This window comes from Homo sapiens, chromosome 10 (assembly GCF_000001405.40).
Source record: "Homo sapiens chromosome 10, GRCh38.p14 Primary Assembly".
NCBI classification, from domain to species: Eukaryota; Metazoa; Chordata; class Mammalia; order Primates; family Hominidae; genus Homo; species Homo sapiens.
Genome location: NC_000010.11, coordinates 19,506,953 through 19,529,003, shown reverse-complemented (window position 1 = coordinate 19,529,003; position 22,051 = coordinate 19,506,953). Strand labels below are relative to the sequence as shown.

General features: G+C 35.5%; 1 protein-coding gene across 10 annotated transcripts in view, besides 1 other annotated feature; it reads right to left on the bottom strand.

Annotated features, from left to right (window-relative positions):
• MALRD1 (MAM and LDL receptor class A domain containing 1) overlaps positions 1-22,051 on the bottom strand; it is a 687,552-nt gene that overhangs the window by 205,475 nt on the left and 460,026 nt on the right. The gene's annotated exons all lie outside the window — the stretch shown is intronic.
• Positions 18,188-18,755: an enhancer, noted in NCBI's record as "OCT4-NANOG-H3K27ac-H3K4me1 hESC enhancer chr10:19799178-19799745 (GRCh37/hg19 assembly coordinates)". NCBI's record gives its function as "activates a minimal SCP1, AML or CMV promoter by ChIP-STARR-seq in primed H9 embryonic stem cells {active_cell/tissue: H9 hESC(primed)}" and the evidence as "EXISTENCE:reporter gene assay evidence [ECO:0000049][PMID:30033119]".

Here is a 22,051-nt window from a genome sequence, read left to right as displayed (position 1 = left end):
TGTCCACCTTGAGGCTGCAGCAATCTGTCGGTTTCAGTGAGGATTCCTACACCAGTACTTGTCCCTGAAGAGTTCCCGTTCATGGGCTACTTGCCCAGGTAAGTTACGATACTCTGTGTCTGTCTGGCTGGCTGTCCAATGTTGGGGGTAGTGGTTTGACTGTGACTTCAGTTCTCTAATGAATCTAAAAAGAATTGTTGATTTTCAGTTGGTTCACCTTTCCTTCTACGATGATAGGAATGATGCCTTCCAAGCTCCTTACATGCTGGACTGGAAGATGCAAATAACTTGCATCTATTTTTTTAAAAAAGCTATTTTACTGAAAATTTCTCTTTTCAACAACACCCCTTTATAAAGGCTGCCAAAATAAGAAAATTTCAATAAAATTTATTTTTATTTCTTTATTTATTTAGAGACGGAGTCTTGCTCTGTCGCCAGGCTGGAGTGCAACGGCACGATATTGGCTCACTGCAACCTCTGCCTCCCGGGTTCAAGCGGTTCTCCTGCCTCAGCCTCCCAAGTAGATGGGACTATAGGTGTGTGCCACCAAGCCCAGCTAATTTTTGTATTTTTGGTAGAGATGGGGTTTCACCATGTTGCCCAGGATGGTCTCGATCTCCTGACCTTGTGATCCGCCCGCCTCGGCTTCCCAAAGTGCTGGGATTACAGGCTTGAGTCACTGTGCCCGGCCTAATTTTATTTGAGTAAGATAAGCAGGGAACTTTGTCTGAGAATTATTGCAGCAAAATTTTCAGTACAAAAGATTACACATGAAAGCAACTTGGACTGTTCCTGTAGCATTGGTAAGCTGTTTTCTATCCTCATTGTTCTTTGAAATACATTGTATGTACCACCAAATATTGAGTTAGGAAAATTGAACACAGTACTTAATGCCACAGAAAAAAAAGTTTTCTAAGTTTCACATTTTGTTCCAAAAATACGGCTTGTTTTCTTATTTGGAAAATCACAACATAGGTGGAATGCAAAGCCAATATACCTAGACTGCACCTGTCAAACCTACTATGAACGGTGGCTTATTCATTAAAAACGTACTTTCTTTAAATCCAAGGTATTTTTAATTAAATAAGAATATCTGGATTTCTCCACATTCTGTTGCCTTTTACACACTTGAGAATTTCTAATGCATTTAGACTGCACTTTATCAGACCAACTTTAAAACATTATCTTCAGTAAGAAAAATATGGTATAATCCAATGAGCTATAATAACTTTTCATGTACAGTAAGGCTTAATTGAAAGTATGGAATATATTCATCCTATATTGGATGTGAATAAATAGCCTTGACTTTGTCCCAAATAGTTAAATAACTAATATGTTTGTATAAGTTATTTCTATTTTATAGTTCAGTTCTCAAATACTATAACATGTATAATGATAACTAATGTACTTCCATCTCAGAAGCAGATTCTATTTAATTCAGACTTTAAATATTTCTTTTTCCATGTTGTAGTGTCAACCTGATGTTGAAAGCCAAATATTTAAAGCAGTAGGTAAATTAGTAATTAGGTTCACTGACACAAATTTAACCAATTTTGCAAAGTTAGGAATTGAATTCCGATTTAAAATCTTGTATTTATGTAAATGTATTCCTCCAATTGCATACATACATTGAAACTCCACTAATTCAGATATTTCTTTTCAATACTTTTACTCCAATATCTAACTATAAAAGGCCAATTTTAAGTTTCCACAGCAACCTGAATTAAGTCTAACCAAATGCTCCATCCTTTGTAATAACTTACAGGCTCCTGAAGTAACTCAAGTCACAACATCTTTAGAGTTCTCAGTAATTTACTAATAAAGAGAAGTAAAAAACAAAATTGAGATATTTCTTCCAGCCTGGTACCTAACAACATTTCAAGTACTTGAAAAATATTCTAACAACATCGCAGGTACTTGGAAAATTACTGCACACAGATGGAAACAGTAATATATGTATTATTGCTTTCTTAAATAGCCATAGTTATTTTCTAATGGGGTGTGTGTCTTTTGGGCCCTACACAAATTCCCAAACCTTGAAATCAGACTGAACATCACCTTCTTTCCTATTCTACATTTTCCCCAGTAAATGTCACTTTTGTGACAGCAACTACTAAAACCAGCTTAGCAAAGATATGACTTCGTAGAAAGAAATGTTATACAATCTAATGTTTGCATTTTAGGGCTATGTCATGAAACACAATGTAAAGAAATTTAATTCACTGGGAATGATAATCCACTATTTCGCTGCAGCATATTTATTTTGGCACAGGACAATCAATGTCATGTAAGGCCCAATATCAAAGCTAACCATTCCAATTATTAATTAAGGGACTCTGGGCTGAGTTATCAAAGTATATCGCCACTTAACATCTTCAAATTTGCATACTCAATTTTGGTCTTACAAAATTGTGCAGTCTAACACAAAAGTCAGAAAACTGAATCTTGGCCAAAGTATTAATGCATGCCAAGGTATCCATTTTAAAATTTAAGAAAGCAAAAATGTACCTGGAAATTTAAAAGACACCATTGCAAATTTAATCTTTGGCAATTTTTAATTCTGAAACTCTAGCATATCTAAGTTTGACCTTATAAGAGGGATGAACTTTTGTGATGACATATATATATATATATGTATTTTTTTTTTGGAGAATCATAAAGATGAAAGTTGCTTAGCCTCTTGAAATTATTAATAGAAATTCATGAATTATCCAGAAACTATGTACTGTATCTCAATGTTATAACACCTTACATTGAATTATACTTTCAGAAATAGACTCATTCTTTATCTAGCAAGCTCAGACTAGACCCACTTTCAAACATTTATAAACTTTCAGTTGCTTCATTGAGACCTACCTATTTATATCTAGCAAAATCCTTGGGGAAGGTCAATGTAGCCTCTTGCACAAAGTTCAGAATATATTAAAGCAGATAATAAAGCTGAAATGTCTGAACTGCCACAGCATATTTAGAATTTAATGGTAAATCATTAAACCAACTCGCTTTATTTATATGACTCTATGAAAAGATCAACAACATTCACAGAACAGCTATTTATAGAAGCAGAATTTTCGTTTATTTGTTTGATTTTGGACTGTTTTACAGCTTACTACTTGCCATTTCAAAAGCTACTTAACCCTCATATATTCAGATCAGAATGCATTCAATTAATTTTGTAAAATCGATTACACTTTAATTAAATACTACCAGGTGTAGTGTTCTGGAATATTGTATTCATTAAATATATCTGAATTTTGCCTCTCCCAAACTGACACCAAATATTTTCTGGACACTTTTCATTTAATACTTCACTTTTGCTTGTGTAAGTTTATGATTATAAGTTCTTAAGATTCCTGGGGCACAGATTTTACATTTTGCATCTTAATTAGCTACAATTAGGCAATGAATAGAGATTTCCAATTAATATTCAACTTTTACCTTAAAATCTCTTTAAAAGAGTTGCACACATTTTTGAAAATTGTAGCTGCTTAATGTCAAATACAATAGTATAAATTCAGCATCAAAGTGTACTATCCTCAAATCACAACAGTTACTTAATATCAGAGTGCCAAATATATACTAGACAAATTCAGAATCAATCACTATGCTTCATGGACATTTTTTCACATTGATGTCAGCAGAGGGTTAAAAATTCTAATTTGTCTTTTAGATGTGATTAGCTACACTCTCGAGATTTTAAAACTGTTTCATTGAGTCATTCTACTATAAGGTAATCAATTTTACATTTTTCTGTTAAAAAAAAAAAGTTGATACTTTTAAAGGAAAGCTAGCTGGGCTCGGTGGCTCACGCCTGTAATCTCAGCACTTTGGGAGGCCCAGGCGGGCAGATCACCTAGGGGCAGGAGCTCGAGACCAGCCTGACCAACATAGGGAAACCCCGTCTCTACTGAAAATACAAAAAAAAAAAAAAATTAGCTGGGCATGGTGGTACATGCCTGTAATCCCAGCTACTTGGGAGGCTGAGGCAGGAAAATCGCTTGAACCTAGGAGGCGGGAGGTTGCAGTAAGCCGAGATTATGCCATTGCACTTCAGCCTGGATAACAAGAGCAAAACTCCATCTCAAAATAATAATAATAATAGTAATAAAATTTAAAAAATAAAATAAAGGAAAGGTATGCTTTGACAGCTTCAGTGCCCTAAGAAGAATCATACTTACTGCACTAAGGAAAAATAATAAAAGACAATTTCTCACTTCAAGTGATCTGAATTCAATCCCTGCTTTAAATTAAGACTCAGTTTTAGACTTTTTTTTTCTCATTTTCCTGTTCATAAAATAAAGCTGGCTAATAGTTTTTAAAAATGCTGTGCATTATGCCTCTTTCAAAATAGCAAAAGCTCCATTCTTCAGAGTCAGATTTATTCAGTCTGCCTCTGCATCCTCCATAATTTCTGCCTGTCTCTCACTCTCAATAGAAGGGTGTCTAATGACTATCAGGTGAAACGCTCTCAATCTCTTTTTGTGCTTTCATTTTCTTCCCGCAGATTTCCAACGTGCATCTGCAATTTTTTTTTTTTCTTACTCTGTCTCCCAGGCTGCAGTGCAGTGGCACAATCTTGGCTCACTGCAACCTCCGCCTCTTGGGTTCAAGTGATTCTCGTGCCTCAGCCTCCCAAGTAGCTGGGACTACAGGCACGCACCACCACGCCCAGCTAATTTTTTGTATTTTTAGTAGAGACAGGGTTTCACCACATTGGCCAGGCTGATCTCGAACTCCTGACCTCAGGTGATCCACCACCTTGGCCTCCCAAAGTGCTGGAATTACAGGCGTGAGTCACTGCACCCAGCTCACATCTGCAATTTTTAAAGGCTGTGAAATGTAAATATGGCCAGCGAGAGAAAAAGTTTCCTCAAAGTTGTCAGAATGGAAAACACAGATGCAGTGTTTCTGGAGACGAATGAATTTTTCTCATAGCATTTGATAAAAATGTCTGTCATTACATTATTCTGATTTGCTTTTTAAAGAGTGATACAATGACTATTTCTTTTAAATGTCATAAATTATATTTTGTTCCAATAAGTAATGCTTTAGGCATTAATCTCTTTTGAGACTAATTATTGCCTCTTAAATAAAAACACTTTTTTACCAGAATGTCTCATTTTAATGCTATTAACTGTCATCAAAGTCAATATTATAAACTCCCCCCATGCGCCCCCCGCAGTATGCATTAATCTGATACAAAAATGAAGCTTCTGGTTGTGGCATGCCAACACAAGGTAGAGTCATCTTATTTTTAAAGAACCTAATATGCTCAGCAGCAAGAATACCTCAATCACAGGAAGATGATATATAAGTGAAATTCGTTGCCATTTCCTATAAGTTACAGCTAGAGACAAGAGATTCTGAATCTCTGCATCCTCATATTCAAAGAACCCTGAAAAACCTCTTTATGAGTCATTTATTTGTCAAGATGCCTTTGGAAACATGAATTAACTTAATAACATTTCTGTAACTTTGTTTTCCAAATGAGATTACAAGTAAAACTTGTTTCATGGTCATGCGAGAAGGCAAAACTAATAAATGGTAGATGCTTTTATTTAGGTAAAATGATAAGTGGTCACTATTATAAAAGAGCTTTGACTTCATTTAAATTTCAGATCTATTTTACCTGGAGGAGTGTGGAAAGCAAGTAAGAACAGAAGAATAGTTATTTTCATTGAAACAGAAATATATTATCACATTATTTTAATGCATATGTAATGGGCAGAACTGTAGGCAGGATTGTCCACTGGTTAAGTCTGAAGGCACTGGAGCTGTAGACTTTGATTTGCATCCTGACTCTACCACTTATTAGGTATGTGACCTTGGGCAACCTACTTAAATTCTCTAGGACTCAGAAGCAATAAGAGATAATTATAGTACATACTTCAGCCTCATGGGGTTGTGGTAAAAATTAAATGATCTACTACATGTAAAGTACTTAGAACATAGTTGCAAATTAGTGCTACTCTCCTGGGAAATTTAGAGAATAGATATAAAGATGATTCTACCAGTGGAAATAAGACAATTAATTGCAAGTTATTGATTGAATAACTACTATAGAGAAGGTAGCATGTCTTTCATTTGGATGTAGAATGATGTGCAAGGTAAGACTGGTAAAATACAAAACAAATCCAAAATAATCTTACAAGCTAATAATATGTATTGTTTTAAAGACCAGCTCTGAGTCAAACTGCCTGAGTTAAAAGCCAAATACTGATTCTTATAAGCTTTGTGACTTTGGGAAAATTTCTTAATCCCTACTATGTCTCATATTTATCATCTATCAAATGGGGATAATAATAATTTACAGCTCATTTGGATTATTGGGAGCATATAATATCAAATATTGATGTAGATCATAAATGCTACTTAGTTCAACAAATAAAAGATGGCTTAAATTTGGTGAAGGAGGAAAAACTTCATAAAAGGTGTGTCCTAATGGGGTACTACCACTGAAAGACAGGCCATCCTACAGTCCTTATTTAAGAAGAAGCTTCTAAGGAAACTCAACTATCATGAGGAAGACAAAGACAAGGATACCAGAGGAAATGTTACCTTCTGACACCTACAGCTATAACAAACAGTAAATACAATCTTAGTCCTAGTCAGGTAAACATTAAAAACCTCACACTAATGGCCTTTTAATCTCAGTTCCTTTTACCCAGTATATAGTGTCTACTATCAGCCAAAAATTACAAATCATACCAAAACAATGGTACAATGAAGTATTGATATTAATAAAACCCAAAGTACTTCTGAGGTACAAGAACTCAGTTTGTAGAAGAAGAACATAAGAATTAAAATGAAAAATACAATCTGTAGAAGAATGCAGACAGTCCTTGATGCTAAACTGAAAGGCAATGAAGAGCCTCTGATTATTTGGCGGACCAGGAGTCACCAATTATAAATATTAATCTTGCGTCAGTGTGAAGAGTGGCCTCATTCAGAAGAATAGTTGCGTTGTAAATGAGTGGCCTTATCTACAATAGCCCAGAAGTGAGTATGGATGACAGATGTGAAAATGCAAAGATTATGAAAACATATAATCAGCTGAGAAAGAGAGCTGACAGAATTTGAAATTGAGAGAGAATTAACAGTGTTAACAATGATGATGACAATAACAGAGATACTAGAGTCATGAGAAGAAGATGCTTTCTGCAAGGAAGGCAAGTTTACATTTGAATATGTGACTTGGAGATACTAACAATTACCTAGTGGGCAAATGATAGTATGGAACTCAAATGTGGAAATAAGTGATTGATCAGTAGTATTAAATACATATAATAGCAAGAATCAGGTTGTTACAATTTTAAAAATCATAAAAGTCCTGGAAGAGAACTAGAATATATTCAAGAGGACAGAGACTGAATCTTCTAAAATATTATCTTTACACTATCTAGATCAATGGCCAAGAATGAGTGACCAATAATTACTAGTTGCAGAAATAATATTTTGCAGAAGACAGATTGAAGGGCACCAAGGAAGGTGTGGATAGTGAGGGGGAGGACACAAAGTGCATGAGGAATGGTTATTTAATATATATTTATAACGAAAACAATAATCATTAGAAGAGAATCTAGACTAAGTTTATTTCATTTTGTCTTTTTTTGGTTAAGATCAGAGAGAACTGTGATGCTTGAAGACAAAAAGTATGATGTGGTGACAGAGTGACAGTTTAAGGACACTCAAGGAAATAAATTAAAGGAAGCAAGATTATGGAAAGATAGAAATGGTTAAGTAGTTCATTATTTTACCAGGAAATAGAGTCTGTAAATAAATACATATTTAGAAGATTCTTTTTAGAGAAATTACGGTGTCTAGATGCTTATAAAACGATGAGATAATTCATCTGAAAAGTTTTCAGATTACATATTCAGAGTCTAATCATGCCCTCCAAGATTCCAAATGAACTGATTCATTCACATGTTTTTCACTCAGTATCATCTCACAGATAATACCTTTGACACAAACAAAAAACGCAAGCAAGCAAGCATCATTTGGGTCGTGCTTGAAACATTTGTTAAGTATTCTTGGAAATATTTTAAATAAATGTAGACAAATATACCAAAGTAAAGGAAGGAATATTTGATTGGGTATCTGATTCAGATGGTACATGTGGATGAATAGAAGGGGTTCATATTTTCAGACCAGCATTGCTTTTTGGCAGCAAAATGAAAATTACTGTTTGTTTGATGGGGTGAATAGCTGAAGAAATATAGAGCAGCTGTAGATAATCAGGGTTTGTTTTTGTTGTCGAAACATCACTAAGGTAAAAAACCTGTCTCAGAAAAAAAATAAAAGAAACAGGAAGGACCCTAACCTAAACACTCACTATGGTTTCATAGAGAAACACTTTTATTCTAATTGTGGTTAACAAGCAAACAATGGCTATCATTTATTCCTTTTCACAGAAAACTTTTAAGAAAACTAAATCTGCAAGACACATTCTGAGGCTTATCAGCCAACAAAGTCACCTGGATTTCTTTTTTGATGGTATTGTATGTTTGGAGTAGAATACTTGTATTTCTAAAAAGTTAAATGAGACAAGGAGAAAGTAGAAATATACTGATATGTAGGAAGAAAACAGCAACTAGAGTAACTAAGAAGGACAGAAAAAACATACTTGTTTTGAGCCATTGGTAGACAAAATGCAATGACAAAGATGATACCAATTGCAGCTTTTTTTTTTTTAGAAAACAAACCATCGATTACCATTTTTATGTCATCAGTTTTATACATTTTGGGATGTTTTGAGAAATCCACATTAAAGGACAGTGGTTACAAATACAGGCTTTTGCTTTAGATACACACGAGTTTCAATGCTAAGTTCAACAAGTGCCTTCTGTGTAGTTGGGGGAAAGTTAGTAACCCTCTCTGTGCATCAATTTCCTCTTCCGTGAACGACTCAAGGTTGTTGTGAGGATTAAATGAAAAAGCCTGTTCAGAGTCAGGTGCACGGTGATTGACACTCAGTGAATAGTAGCTACAAAGGGTCACATCAGTTTTGACAACAAGACATGTTCTATTTAGGTGGACATAACAATGATCTACCTTTAGTTATATGTTATTCCTTTAAAAAGAGGTAAACAATAGCAACTGTAAGAACCCCTCTTCATTTGCTTTGTATGAAAGTAGACCGTTTAATAGTCTTTTGTTCCAAACTAAAGTATTTACTTAATCATTGAACAAATATAATAATTAGAAAATATCAGAACCAGTTTTTTGTTATTGTTGTTTGAGAAGGCACCTAGCTCTGTTGCCCTGGCTACATTGCAGTGGCGTGATAACAGTTCATTGCAGCTTCAACCTCCTGTGCTCAAGCAATCTTCTCACTTCAGCTTCCCGAGTAACTAGGACTACAGGCACACACCTGGCTACCTTATAAAAAAAAAATTGTAGCAACAGGGTCTCACTATGTCTCCCAGGCTGGTCTCAAATTCCTGGGCTCAAGTAGTCCTCCTGCCTCCTGCGACGGCCTGCCAAAGTGCTAGGATTACAGGTGTAAGCCTCTGTGCCCAGTCTAGAACCAAATTATTTTTAAAAGATGATACTAAAGATTTTTCAAAGTATATAATGAGTATATGAAATATTAGTAATATTAATAACTGTTCATTTTATACTAATAGTTTGTCATTCTCCTTGATAAAAATCTCCTTTCACTTCATGCTTATATGTTTTGGTGGCATAATAGGAGAAAAGTCAAAGGAAAAGTAAAAGTAGGAGGCAACAATAGAAGAAAATGAGAAAAAAACTGATATTCATAGTGTAAATAAATGCTATTATGCAAAACTTGACTATGCTGATGAAAAATTTTGACAATGAAAGAAAATTAGAATAAGTATATACTGATGAAAAATTTTGACAATGAAAGAAAATTAGAACAAGTATATACATTTTTTTAAGTAATGGTAAACATGAAGAGGATATTTCTAGGGCAAGTCAAAGAAAAGACAGAAAAAGAGAGAAAGCTTTTAAAATAACCCGAGATACATTCATATATCATTAAAAAGTGAGATCCTGCATTACATACACCAAACAGCATTATAGGGATAATGCTGTCTAATTCATTGTAAAAGCAAAACATCTAAAGCAAATCAACTTTATGACTAGTGTTGCACTGGCAGTGCTGATGGTCATAATTTTCACTGTGGTTGTGAGTGATTCATGAATGGCAATTGCCACTAAAATTGAAACCAATTATGTAGTAAGCCAAAGTTTGTTCTATTTAGGAAGTTTCAGAACATGACTGTTAGTGAAACAACTAAACATTTTATTAAGAAAAGTACCTTTCTGCTGACAAAGATAATTGTATTTTAGTATTTATGAAAAAAAAAAATGTTCACACCATTACCTGAAAATGCAAAGCCTGTAACAATTAATACAAAATTTGGAAATAGAGATCTGGATGATTTTGTAGAGTGAATTATGAAGGCAACGTATGTCATTATAGAGATGTTATCACACTATCATAAATACTATCTCACAGGTCAGTAGAGACTCTGTAATTTCAAAAAATAATAAAATATCAACTTTGACATTATATAAGAAAAAGAAAATCATAAAAGATAAAGAAAATATAAAATTAAGAATGTCATTGGTTTTTCTCTATGGAAATTATAAAACAGAAATGATAATATCTGCACAATAATTCAGAAGACAGTTATTTATGGACACTGAAATTGCTGATATATTCAGATTGCCATGTTAATGTTGTTAAATTAAATTAGCAGGAGGCCATTAGTCTGAGGTTGTCTCTTTGAGTTTCTGCAAAACAAACTACAACCTAACTTAGTATGTACACAAACTATAATAAAACTTAGGAGTATAACAAACAACAGAGCTTCAGCTAATCATAAGCAGCTGTGTTTCAGCCAGTCACAGGCAGGCAACTAATGACAATATTCCGAAATAAGGCAGATGCCTAGCAGTATAGCCAATCAGGGGATTCCCTAAAGTGCTTCTGTGTTTGGCTCATAAAAACTTGCTCAAACTCAGGCAGAGCTCTCTGAACCTTTTCTGGTTCTGAGTGCTACCTGATTTATAAGTCATATCTGCAAAAATAAACTCTGCTAAATTTAATTTGTCTGAATTAACAGTTTGGTGTCAGAAGTGGGATGTGGAGGAAACCTCCCATGACCCTCAGAAGCACCAAGTGACCAAGCATTAAGTCCATTGCTCTCTTGCAACAAGTGAAGGCTGTGGGTGAGTTCTCTCTTAAATTTGAGCTCCTCAAATTTGTGTTTTGAGCTTCCTGATTTTATTCGAACAATTACTGGATATGACTGTGCCCAGGCTCATACTGAACTTCATAACAAAACTGGACTGGATCCAATAGGTAAGGTTACTACATAAAATTGTAGGTCATCTGTAACCAAGGTATCTAGAACTCCCCCATCTGGAACACCAGCTGATTTCATATATAAGAACTATGGACCTAGAATCTGTGTTTTTCTACAGAAATGGGTGAACTTTATCAAAGGTGACTTAGAGTTACATTGGCTACAGCGAGAAAACTCTTTAGAAAAGGCATGATGCATGTCTTTGTATCTATGGGACTAACAGGTCCTCCTTGTGTGTATTTTAAAACCCAAACTGAGAGATTTCAAACTAGAACCTCGTGCCCTGAGATTTTTGCCTTTATTGTAAACAGCCAGGCTATTGGAAAAGAAATTGCCCATGTTTTCACCAGCCATCTGATGAATGCACTCACATTGGCCTGGAATGTTTCCCTACTGGAGAAAGTACTTAAGGGCTTGACTCCCAGGACAATAACCAACCAGTCCCTCAGATAAAAAAGCATATTTCCAGGGTGGGAATTTCAAGTCAAGCCCCCAAAAGTCTACAGTCTTAATCTATCCAATTGATATTAGGATCATTTTCAGAAAAACGTTTGTTAGAATTAGTTCTGTTTTTCCTATTCAATCCTGCTTCAACCAGAGGAATTACTCGGTCAACTAAAACCCCTCGTCTCAAACCCCTGATGACATGAAAAGCCTTACTTTTGTTTTAAGTGCTTGTCATGGCCATCTTGTCTTAACTGGGCTTTTAGCTATGCCGTTCTTTCTTGGTTTAGGCAGACTACAGTATTTAAGCCTAAAGTTTAAGCTCTGTGACTTTAAGATGTAAAAATTTAACACTGTCTTCTGTAGGACCTCATAGATATCATTTTAAAATGCAAGTATAGAGAAAATGATAATGATGAAGGAGAAGGAGGAGAAGAGGGAGGAGAAGAAGGTGAAGGGGAAGAGAAAGAACAAGGAAGAAGGAAGAGGGAGGGAGGGAGGTAAGCAAGGGAGGGAGGGAGGAAGGGAGGGAGGAGATGAGGAGGAGGAAGAAGAGTAGGAAGAGGAAGAGGAGGAGGAGGAAGAGGAGGAGCAGGAGGAGGAGAAGATATTTGAAAATTGAACAAATGAAAAAATCTTAAAAGTTTCCCCACAAATATTAGTAGAATATTTAGTCATCTAGGAAAGCAATCTTGTTCCACGGACAAGAAAAAGAATTTGACTCTAAATCTTTAATAAATTAGTGAGTTTCATATTATTGTACTTGAAACACGGTTTAAATTTTCAAATAAAAGCTATAAGAAATGTTTCTCTGTATATATTTTTGTCTAATTGTCTATATGTTATGTATGTGTGGTATTTTTCTACCAGCTTACAGGATTGCCAAAATTAAATTGTAAAAGAGTTCTCTTACATTGGCTGAAAAAAATGAGCACTTGCATAAATTAGATATTCCTTAAACTCTAAGATAGAAACTAACACAAATTATTTTCAAATTTACATGATCTGGGATAGTCTTTGGTAAATAAAAGCTAATTAAAGTGTGTGAGTTTGATTAAAGCAGGTACATCTCCAGATTTCTCAACATTAGACATAATTCAGATGCACAACTTTTTCTACCTAGGTTTATTAGTAAAACAAGCTTATGTTATCTCTATATTAAAAAATTTGTCAGCAATGAAAATAACTTAAGACGATAGCTAGTTGTTTAACGTCTCATCTTCATAAGTAATCCAAGCATAATCATAAAAACAAGTGAATTAAATAGGTGTAAGTAATCTAAAATTCCCATGTGAATGATGTCCTTATACTAGCTGGTTCTAACGTTCTTATCAGCAAGAAGAGAAAGTTGGCCATGCACGGTGGCTCACGCCTGTAATCCGAGCTCTTTGGGAGGCCAAGGCAGGCAGATCACGAGGTCAAGAGATTGAGACCATCCTGGCTAACATGGTGAAACCCCATCTCTACTAAAAATACAAAAAAGAAAAAAAATTAGCCAGGCGTTGTAGCGGGTGCCTGTAGTCCCAGCTACTCGGGAGGCTGAGGCAGGAGAATGGCGTGAACCCGGGAGGCAGAGCTTGCAGTGAGCTAAGATCGGGCCACTGTGCTCCAGCCTGGGCAACAGAGCGAGACTCTGTCTCAAAAAAAATAAATAAATAAAAATTAAAAAAAAGAGAAAGTTGAGGCTACGGGAAATCTGTACAAACAACAAGTTAAAGTGACCTACTAAAAGAAAACCTTGAAAGGACAGAGATAAAATTTTGCCTCTTCTACAGTTTCTCATTACAGGACTAAAGATGGTTTAAACTGTTAGTACACATGTTCTGTGTCATACCAAAAAAAGTGTACTATGAAAAAGTACATATTTCTAGAAATTATGATTCATAGATTTGCCAATCTACAGGAAGCTGGTGTGATATAGCTCAGTTGTTTGCTTCCTAGTGTTCCCTGTAAATTAAGGTCACTAAGAGTTCATTATTTGAATTCATACATGTAACTAAAATTACTAGAAATAATTAGAAAAACCATTCTAAATCCAAGTATATAAAGATGGTAAGCTATGCTTTTGGTAAGAAAAGCTATAAAGTATAAAGTTGTGTTTTTGTTGTTTGTTAAGTAAAAAAGATTTTTTTTTTTGTCCTAAAGCATAAGAAATGGCTGTTTCAAAATGGGAAAAAGAAAAAAGTATAAAACAAACACTGAATGGACATAAGGGTATTGTAGATGGAATGGACAGATATTTTATGTGTGATCAAACTGGCTGCAATTAGAAGGGAATTATTTTTAAGTCTTCCAAAAAAATAAGCATTTATATCAAAAGTACACTGATACAAAACAAGAATTTGATCCTCTATGTTAAAACAACAAGGTTTTCTTGGAGTATTGGTCTGCCTTTAGTAGAAAATTGTAAAAGGCTTTCCTTTTAGATAATTGACCTAGGAAACAAATATTCTGTGTTTTATCAAGATAATTTCCTACACTTCATGCAGTCTGTATGGGATCTTTCATTTCTTAAGAAAAGTGAGTTCTGTTTATTAAATGAACTAAGGTTTTTCTTTCCTATAACTATGTACCTTTCTGTATTTGTCTTTAAATATTTTAATTATCACTCTAGTTAAATGAGTAAGCATTGTTTCACATTGCCCTGTAATCCTATTTTAATCAAGTATTCAAAACCTCTTATTTTTCAAGACTTCCCAAAATCAAAGTCTAAATTAGGATCTTTTGACGTTGAACTAACTTAGGGAGTTTTCCTACAGGCCATAGAAATATCTCAAAAGAATTTTTTTCTTTCTCTTGATTAAAAGAGAGGTGTAAAACTAATTAGGCTTATCTAACATGTTAAATGGCATGGGAAACATTGTCAAATAATAAGTGATACTAAACCTTATTTCAATTATATTGTATGATATGTTATTAATATGTGTTTGAGAAATTATATAAAATTCCAAGGAAACTGATGGTTGTAGTATAATGCTGTCAGTCATAATTCTAGTTATTACCTTAAATTATTTTATGTTGCAAAAACAAAATTTTCTTGCCAGTTGCACTATAATAAACTGTAATAAGATCTTTAAGCCATGGCCATTTTAAGTCTTGTCATCTGTAGATAGTTCATTGTTTTATTCTGTTAGGTTCCTGAAAGCTATTACAAACAGCTGTAAGCCTAAAATATTTTATCTTTCAGGGGATTCACGGAAAGGACTCTAACAAGTACAGGTTTCTGGTAACTTTAAGATCCCATCATTTGACTAGGTAAGAATTCTCAGAATTTTAATGAAGAAACTGATTGGCACCTAAATTGCTAACCCAATATCTAGTAGAACAAGAATTAATTAATTGAATGCCAAGAAAATGCTGTTGCAGATTCTCGTGGTTAAGTCAGCCAATACTGAAATTGTTAAGATACTGTGTTAGTTAATTCTGCATTGCTATAAAGGAGTACCTTAGGTTGGATAATTTTTTTTTTCTTTTCTTTTGAGATGGAGTCTTGCTCTTTCACCCAGGTTGGAGTACAGTGGCCCAATCTCAGCTCACTGCAACCGCCGCCTCCCGGGTTCACACCATTCTCCTGCCTCAGCCTCCCGAGTAGCTGGGGCTACAGGCACCCGCTACCACGCCTGGCTAATTTTTTGTATTTTTAGTAGAGACGGGGTTTCCCTGTGTTAGCCAGGATGGTCTCAATCTCCTGACCTCGTGATCCGCCCGCCTCGGCCTCCCAAAGTGCTGAGATTACAGGCGTGAGCCACCACGCCCGGCCAGGTTGGATAATTTTCAAAAAAAAAAAAAAAAGAGATTTATTTGGCTCATGGTTCTGCAAGCTGTATAAGCATGGCACCAGTATCTGCTTGGCTTCTGGTGAGGCCTCAGGAAGCTTATGGTCATGAAAGAAGGAAAAAGGGAACCTGTTAGATCACGTAGTGAGAAAGGAAGCAAGAGAGTGAAGGGGGAGGTCTACACACATTTTAACAATGAGTTCTCATGTGGACTCATTACCAGAGATGGAGCACCATGCCGTTCATGAGGAATCCATCCTCATGACCCAAGCACCTCTCACTAGGTCCCATCTCCAACACTGGGGATTACCTTTTAACATGAGATTTGGAGGGGACAAATATACAAACCATATCATATATGCAATTTAAGTGAACACAGTAAGATTGACCCAACTCAAATTATCTATGACAACCTATTTAATAAACAGTGCTACACACCTGAAATGAAGAAACAAATGTGTTATTTAAAATTAAGTAAATTCGATGTTAATTGTACACCCATGGAGGACCCAGATGACCACTTCGTCCTTCCTGAGTCCTTAAATCTTCCATTATTTAAAACTATGCACTCCATGAATCATTATGGAAATTTCAAAATGACTTAAATTATGAAAAAAAAATCTTGGAGTGACTAGTCTAAAATTGCTAAAATGGTTTGTAAGCATTTTTTGGTTTGTCAAATCCATAATTCTGGGAAGACAACCAAGTCTTTAGGCGCTGCATTTCTACCTATAAATCATTTAAAATTTTACAAATGGATTTAACTCAATTGCCACCTTCAATGGGATATCAATGTGTTCTTGTAGTTTGTATGTTTCCTGGTTAGACAGAAGCTTTCCTGTATAGGAAAGCCAATGCTATGACAGTAACTAAGAGGTTATTATAAATGTTTTTCTTTTATGGGGTATTCTTGAAGAAATTTCCAGTGATGGAGGCACTCATTTCACTGGGCAAATCATCAAACAGTTAAATAAGATATTACAAACACAATGGCATTATGCAAAACTAACTGAATAGACTGGATTGCCTTGGGCAAATGTATTACTGCTGTCCTTGATGGCAATAATATCTATTCTCCCTGGAAAGCACCAATTATGAAATCTTATCAAATAGTCACTGAGGCCTTTGCCCATAACAATAGAGCTGCCTGTATCTCCTGTTCTTATAAATGATGAAATATTGCCAAGCTTTAATGTATTATGCCAGAGTATATGTTTACCATGTAAAAAAAGCCCTTTGTTACCCACCAACTGATGATAACCACATTTTTCATGATCTAGGGCACAGAATGGCTCTTTTGGAAGTGACACTAGAGAAAGACTGCCCCTGAGCCCCACTGGAGAGAATGATACCAAGCTCTTTTAAGCAATCATACTGCAGCAAAACTTTATAACCTTCAGTCTTGGCTCCCTATCTCTCAACTCAAGAGGACTCCTCCAAGACTGCACATCTTTTGGAGACCTCAAGGCAAAACTGACCAAGGAGATTTCTCTTCAGAAGAAGATGACATCCTAGATGTGGCCAACTTTCCCCAAAACAAGGATCAAAACTTCTCCCCTCTCTCATTATGAAAACTTTGTCTTTTTTATTTTTTCTCTGTGTTTCTTTTCTGTTTACAAATGGTGAGATAATGCCAAAATCAAGATTTCATAGTTGATAACTTCTGCAGAAAACCTAACTGAATGTTGACTATGTCATGTTAAACCAATATCCCTACATGATCTTAGAGATCCTCTAGTTCACCCTGAAACAAAAGTTACTGATATTCCAAATGTGACCATTTTCTCATATTGCAGGTTTGATTCTTCTATAGGGTTAGACTTTTAGATTCACATATTCATATTCCTTGTTTAAAGCTAACAGTAGGCAAAACATATAATGAGGGTTTTGCAGTTAATTATGCCAGAAATTGAATAAGAACAACAAAAAATAGTTTGGCATTTTGTAGACAAATATATAACCCTAATTGTTGATGGGCTCTAACCATGCTATGATTTGATAATAAAGCCTTGGATAAATTTTAGTGCTTTCCTACTAGTGACCCTTAAATCACAAGACATCTTAAAGGGAACTGTCTGTTGTGGCTCTTGAAGATATATTTTTATTTGTAGAGAATTTAAAGATCAGCCGTGTGCTGATCTTTTTGACTCCATGTCTCAAAAAGAGGCCAATGTGGGTTAGGCATTTTAACGGCACCACTCACTCCATAATCAACTGGAAACTGATCATTGATCTATACAATTCAATTTTCAATGTAAAATAAATAAGATTTTTTCTAGCTGTAAATGAGCATCTTTGGGTAGAACACTCCTTTCCTGGCTTGGCATAAATATAATAAAGTTATGGTTAGAAATCAGTCTCAAATACTAACTGATATAGCTGACTATATTGCAAAGGCTATGGCTGCCCAGTACATTTCTTTAAATTCTCTTGATAAGGTTGTTTTAGATAGCAAGATTGTTTTGGACTACCTGTTGGCTGAACAGCGGGGAGTGTCTACAGTAGCTAACACCTCTTGCTGCACACGGATAAATACATCTGGTATAGAAACTAATCTGCAAGAATTCAGCAAACAAGCTATTTGGTTAAAACAAGTAGATTCCACTTCTGGTTTATTTTTTGATTTATTTGATTTTAATTCATATGATTCTTAGGGCTCCTGCTATGGAGTAAACAATATGGGGAAAAGAAAGAGAGATCAGACTGTTACTGTGTCTATGTAGAAAGAAGTAGACATAAGAGACTCCATTTTGTTCTGTACTAAGAAAAATTCTTCTGCCTTGAGATGCTGTTAATCTGTAACCCTACCCTCAACCCTGTGCTCGCAGAAACATGTGCTGTGTCGACTCAAGGTTTAATGGATTTAGGGCTATGCAGGATGTGCTTTGTTAAACAAATGCTTGAAGGCAGCATGCTTGTTAAAAGTCATCACCACTCCCTACTCTCAAGTACCCAGGGACATAAAACACTGCGGAAGGCTGCAGGGAACTCTGCCTAGGAAAGCCAGGTATTGTCCAAGGTTTCTCCCCATGTGATAGTCTGAAATATGGCCTTGTGGGAAGGGAAAGACCTGACCATCCCCCAGCCCGACACCTGTAAAGGGTCTGTGCTGAGGAGGATTAGTAAAAGAGGAAAGCCTCTTTGCAGTTGAGGTAAGAGGAAGGCATCTGTCTCCTGCTCCTCCCTTGGCAATGGAATGTCTCAGTGTAAAACTCGATTGTATATTCCATCTACTGAGATAGCAGAAAACTGCCTTAGGGCTGGAGGTGAGACATGCTGGCTCTTTAAGGCATTGAGATGTTTACGTACGTGCACATCAAAAGCACAGCACCTTTTCCTTTACCTTGTTTATGATGCAGAGACATTTGTTCACGTTTTCCTGCTGACCCTCTCTCCACTATTACCCTATTGTCCTGCCACATCCCCCTCTCCAAGATGGTAGAGATAATGATCAATAAATACTGAGGGAACTCAGAGACTGGTGCTGGAGCGGATCCTCTGTATGCTGAGCGCCGGTCCCCTGGGCCCACTTTTCTTTCTCTATACTTTGTCTCTGTGTCTCTTTCTTTTCTCAAGTGTCTCCTTCCACCTGACGAGAAACACCCACAGGTGTGCAGGGGCAACCCACCCTTTCATCCTTCAGTGTCTTGGTATTATCCTTCTGATAGTCATCATAGTAGTCTGCCTGGTACACTGTATTCTCTCAAGGGTCTTAAATGCTTGTGCGTAGCCATTCACTGTGTATCAAATGGTCTCACTTTGGTTTGAACAACAAAAACACAAAGAGAACAAATCATTCAGCTGACTCGATACTGTACCTTGTGAGTTCCATACTGAGACCAAATATATCCACTATGATGGTGACAAACCTTAGCATCAATGCCCAAGGTTTGCATCAACCTCTCAAGATTGAGAGGCTGACCAGAAAAGGGAATTGTCAAAGTAAATAACCAAGAGGCCATTACCCTGAAGTCTTCTTTGTACTTTGAGTTCCTAGATAACCAACTGCAACCTAACTTAGTACAGAAATAAACCAAAACCAAATTTAGGAGTATAAAAGACAAATTTCAGCCAGTCACAGGCAGCCAACTCATCACACCATACCCAAATGAGGCAGATGCCTAGCTATAGTCAATCAGATAATTTCTCTAACTTGCTTGTTTTTGGCTCATAAACGCTTGTTGCTCACACTGAAGGGTGGAGCTCTCTGAACCACTTTTGGTTCTGAGTATTGCCCAATTCATGAATTATTTATTGTGCAAATAAACTCTGCTAAACGTAATTTGTCTAACATTCTTCTTTTAATAATGTTTAATTATTAGGATATACTTTGTTAATATATATAATGTAATATAAAGATAATAGATTAGGCTAAATTGTTAAAATTATACCACTTTGCTTTTCATTGTTCTCTTTTTCTCCAAAGTACTTTTTGCTTAAAGTGGATTGGATGTCAAATAGACCATCTTTGCCACTTCTTGCTGCAAGTGTGTAAATTTATAAGTAAAAGACTACTCATCTTCAAAGTTATACAGGGATGGCTTTTTTCAATATTTCTTCAGTCAATTCCAGTGTTTTATTCACTTGGTAGACAAGAAAGCCTTCTTTACCTATGCAGTGTAATATTAAACAGGGTTGTCCAATTAAAACATAACGTGAGCCACATATGTAGTTTTAGAATATTTAGTAGCCACATTTTAAGAAGTAAACAAGTTTTTAGTAATTTATTTAATCTAATATATCCAAAATGTTATAATTTCAACATATAATCAATATACAACCTCCTAGTATAATATTTTATATTCTTTGCTTGTTACTACATATTTGAAATCCAGTTCGTAATTTACACATAGAGCACATGTCAATTTTGACTAGCCACATTTCAAGGGCTCAATAGTTCCATGTGGCTAGTTGCTAACACATTGGACAGTATAGGTTCAGGAGAAAGTGTTTTGAGTCAGAAAATTTGGTATTCCAATCTACCTGCTCAGTCATCCATGTGACATGGTAAAGCTTTTTAACCTTTCTAAAAACATCATGTTTTACATCACAGTGTTTTAAAAATATTAAATGAGACAACATACATAAATTCTTTTTTTCACAGTTTCTGACTCTTAGGAAACATTTAATAAGTGTCAGATCTCTTCCTCTAAATCATTCTGAAATTTCACATTGTGTTTGAAAAAAGCTTTTTTGTCTATTCAGTATACATCACACATCCATCCATCCATCCACAACTCTTTGAAAAAGTAAAAACACTAATGAAAGCATCTTTATTGCAGTAGTTACATGTAACATTTTATTTAACTCACTCTTCTTCCCCCACCCCCACCATCCAGAAACTCCTTTTTTTCCTATAGCACTTATCAACAACAACACACTATACAAATTTGTGATTAATAATGCTTCATATTGACTTTCTTTCCCCCTTTGCTACAATGTCAGCCACATGATGGCAGAGATCCTTCTCTGATTTATTCAACAGATATTCCAAGCACCTAGAATAGTGCCTCAAAAAAATGGGCTTCAAAAAAATATTTCCTGATGAATGAATTATTGAAGAAACATTTTTTTCATCATGCCAATGTACATTATTTTACTTTTGTGTCACCCACCTGTGAAAACACCTCCATTTATTCACATACATTTTCAATGTGGTGATTGAAGCATCACAGAAATCCCAAATGTTTCACTTTAATACTCTCAGGATTTAATTTTATTATTATCATGACTATTGGTAGTAATTAACTCCTTTTGAGTATCCAAACACTAACCAATATTAAACAGAAATTTGTTCTGAATTGGCATCACAATAAATTCCAATGTATTGTTTAAAATTCATATTAAAGAAGAATTTATGTATCATATTCTTTGTTATGTTTCAGTATAACTTGAAAACCTAGTGAAGAGATATTATTATTATTATTATGTATTGTCTTCACTTCTATCTGGTGTACAACTCCCTTGGTATTTTCTAAATAATCAGTTCTAATTCCACACTAGATTTCATATTGTTAGGTTTTTTCACTAGATTTGATCACGTTCATACTTTGTGGGAACGATTTTTCTAAACGCCTTTATTTTGAAAATTTTTACATTTATACCAAAGCGGAAATAATAGACTAATGAACTCCTACCTACCCAAAACCCAGCTTTAACCATTTCAACCCATGGTGATATAGTTTGGATATTGGTTCCTGCCTAAATCTCATGCTTAACTGAAATCCCCGTTGCTGGAGTTGGGGCCTGGTGAGAGGTGACTGGATCATGGCGGAAGATCCCTCCCTTATGGCTCGGTGCTCTCTTTGTGAGAGTGAGTTCTCTGGAGACCTGGTCAGTTAAAAGTGTGTGGCACCTCCTCTCCCTGCCACTTTCTCTCTTGTTCCTGCTTTCACCATGCGTTGTGCCTGCTCCCCCTTCACCATCTGTCATAATAGCAAGCTTCCTGAGGCCTTCCCAGAAGCCAAGCAGATGTTGGCACTATTCTTC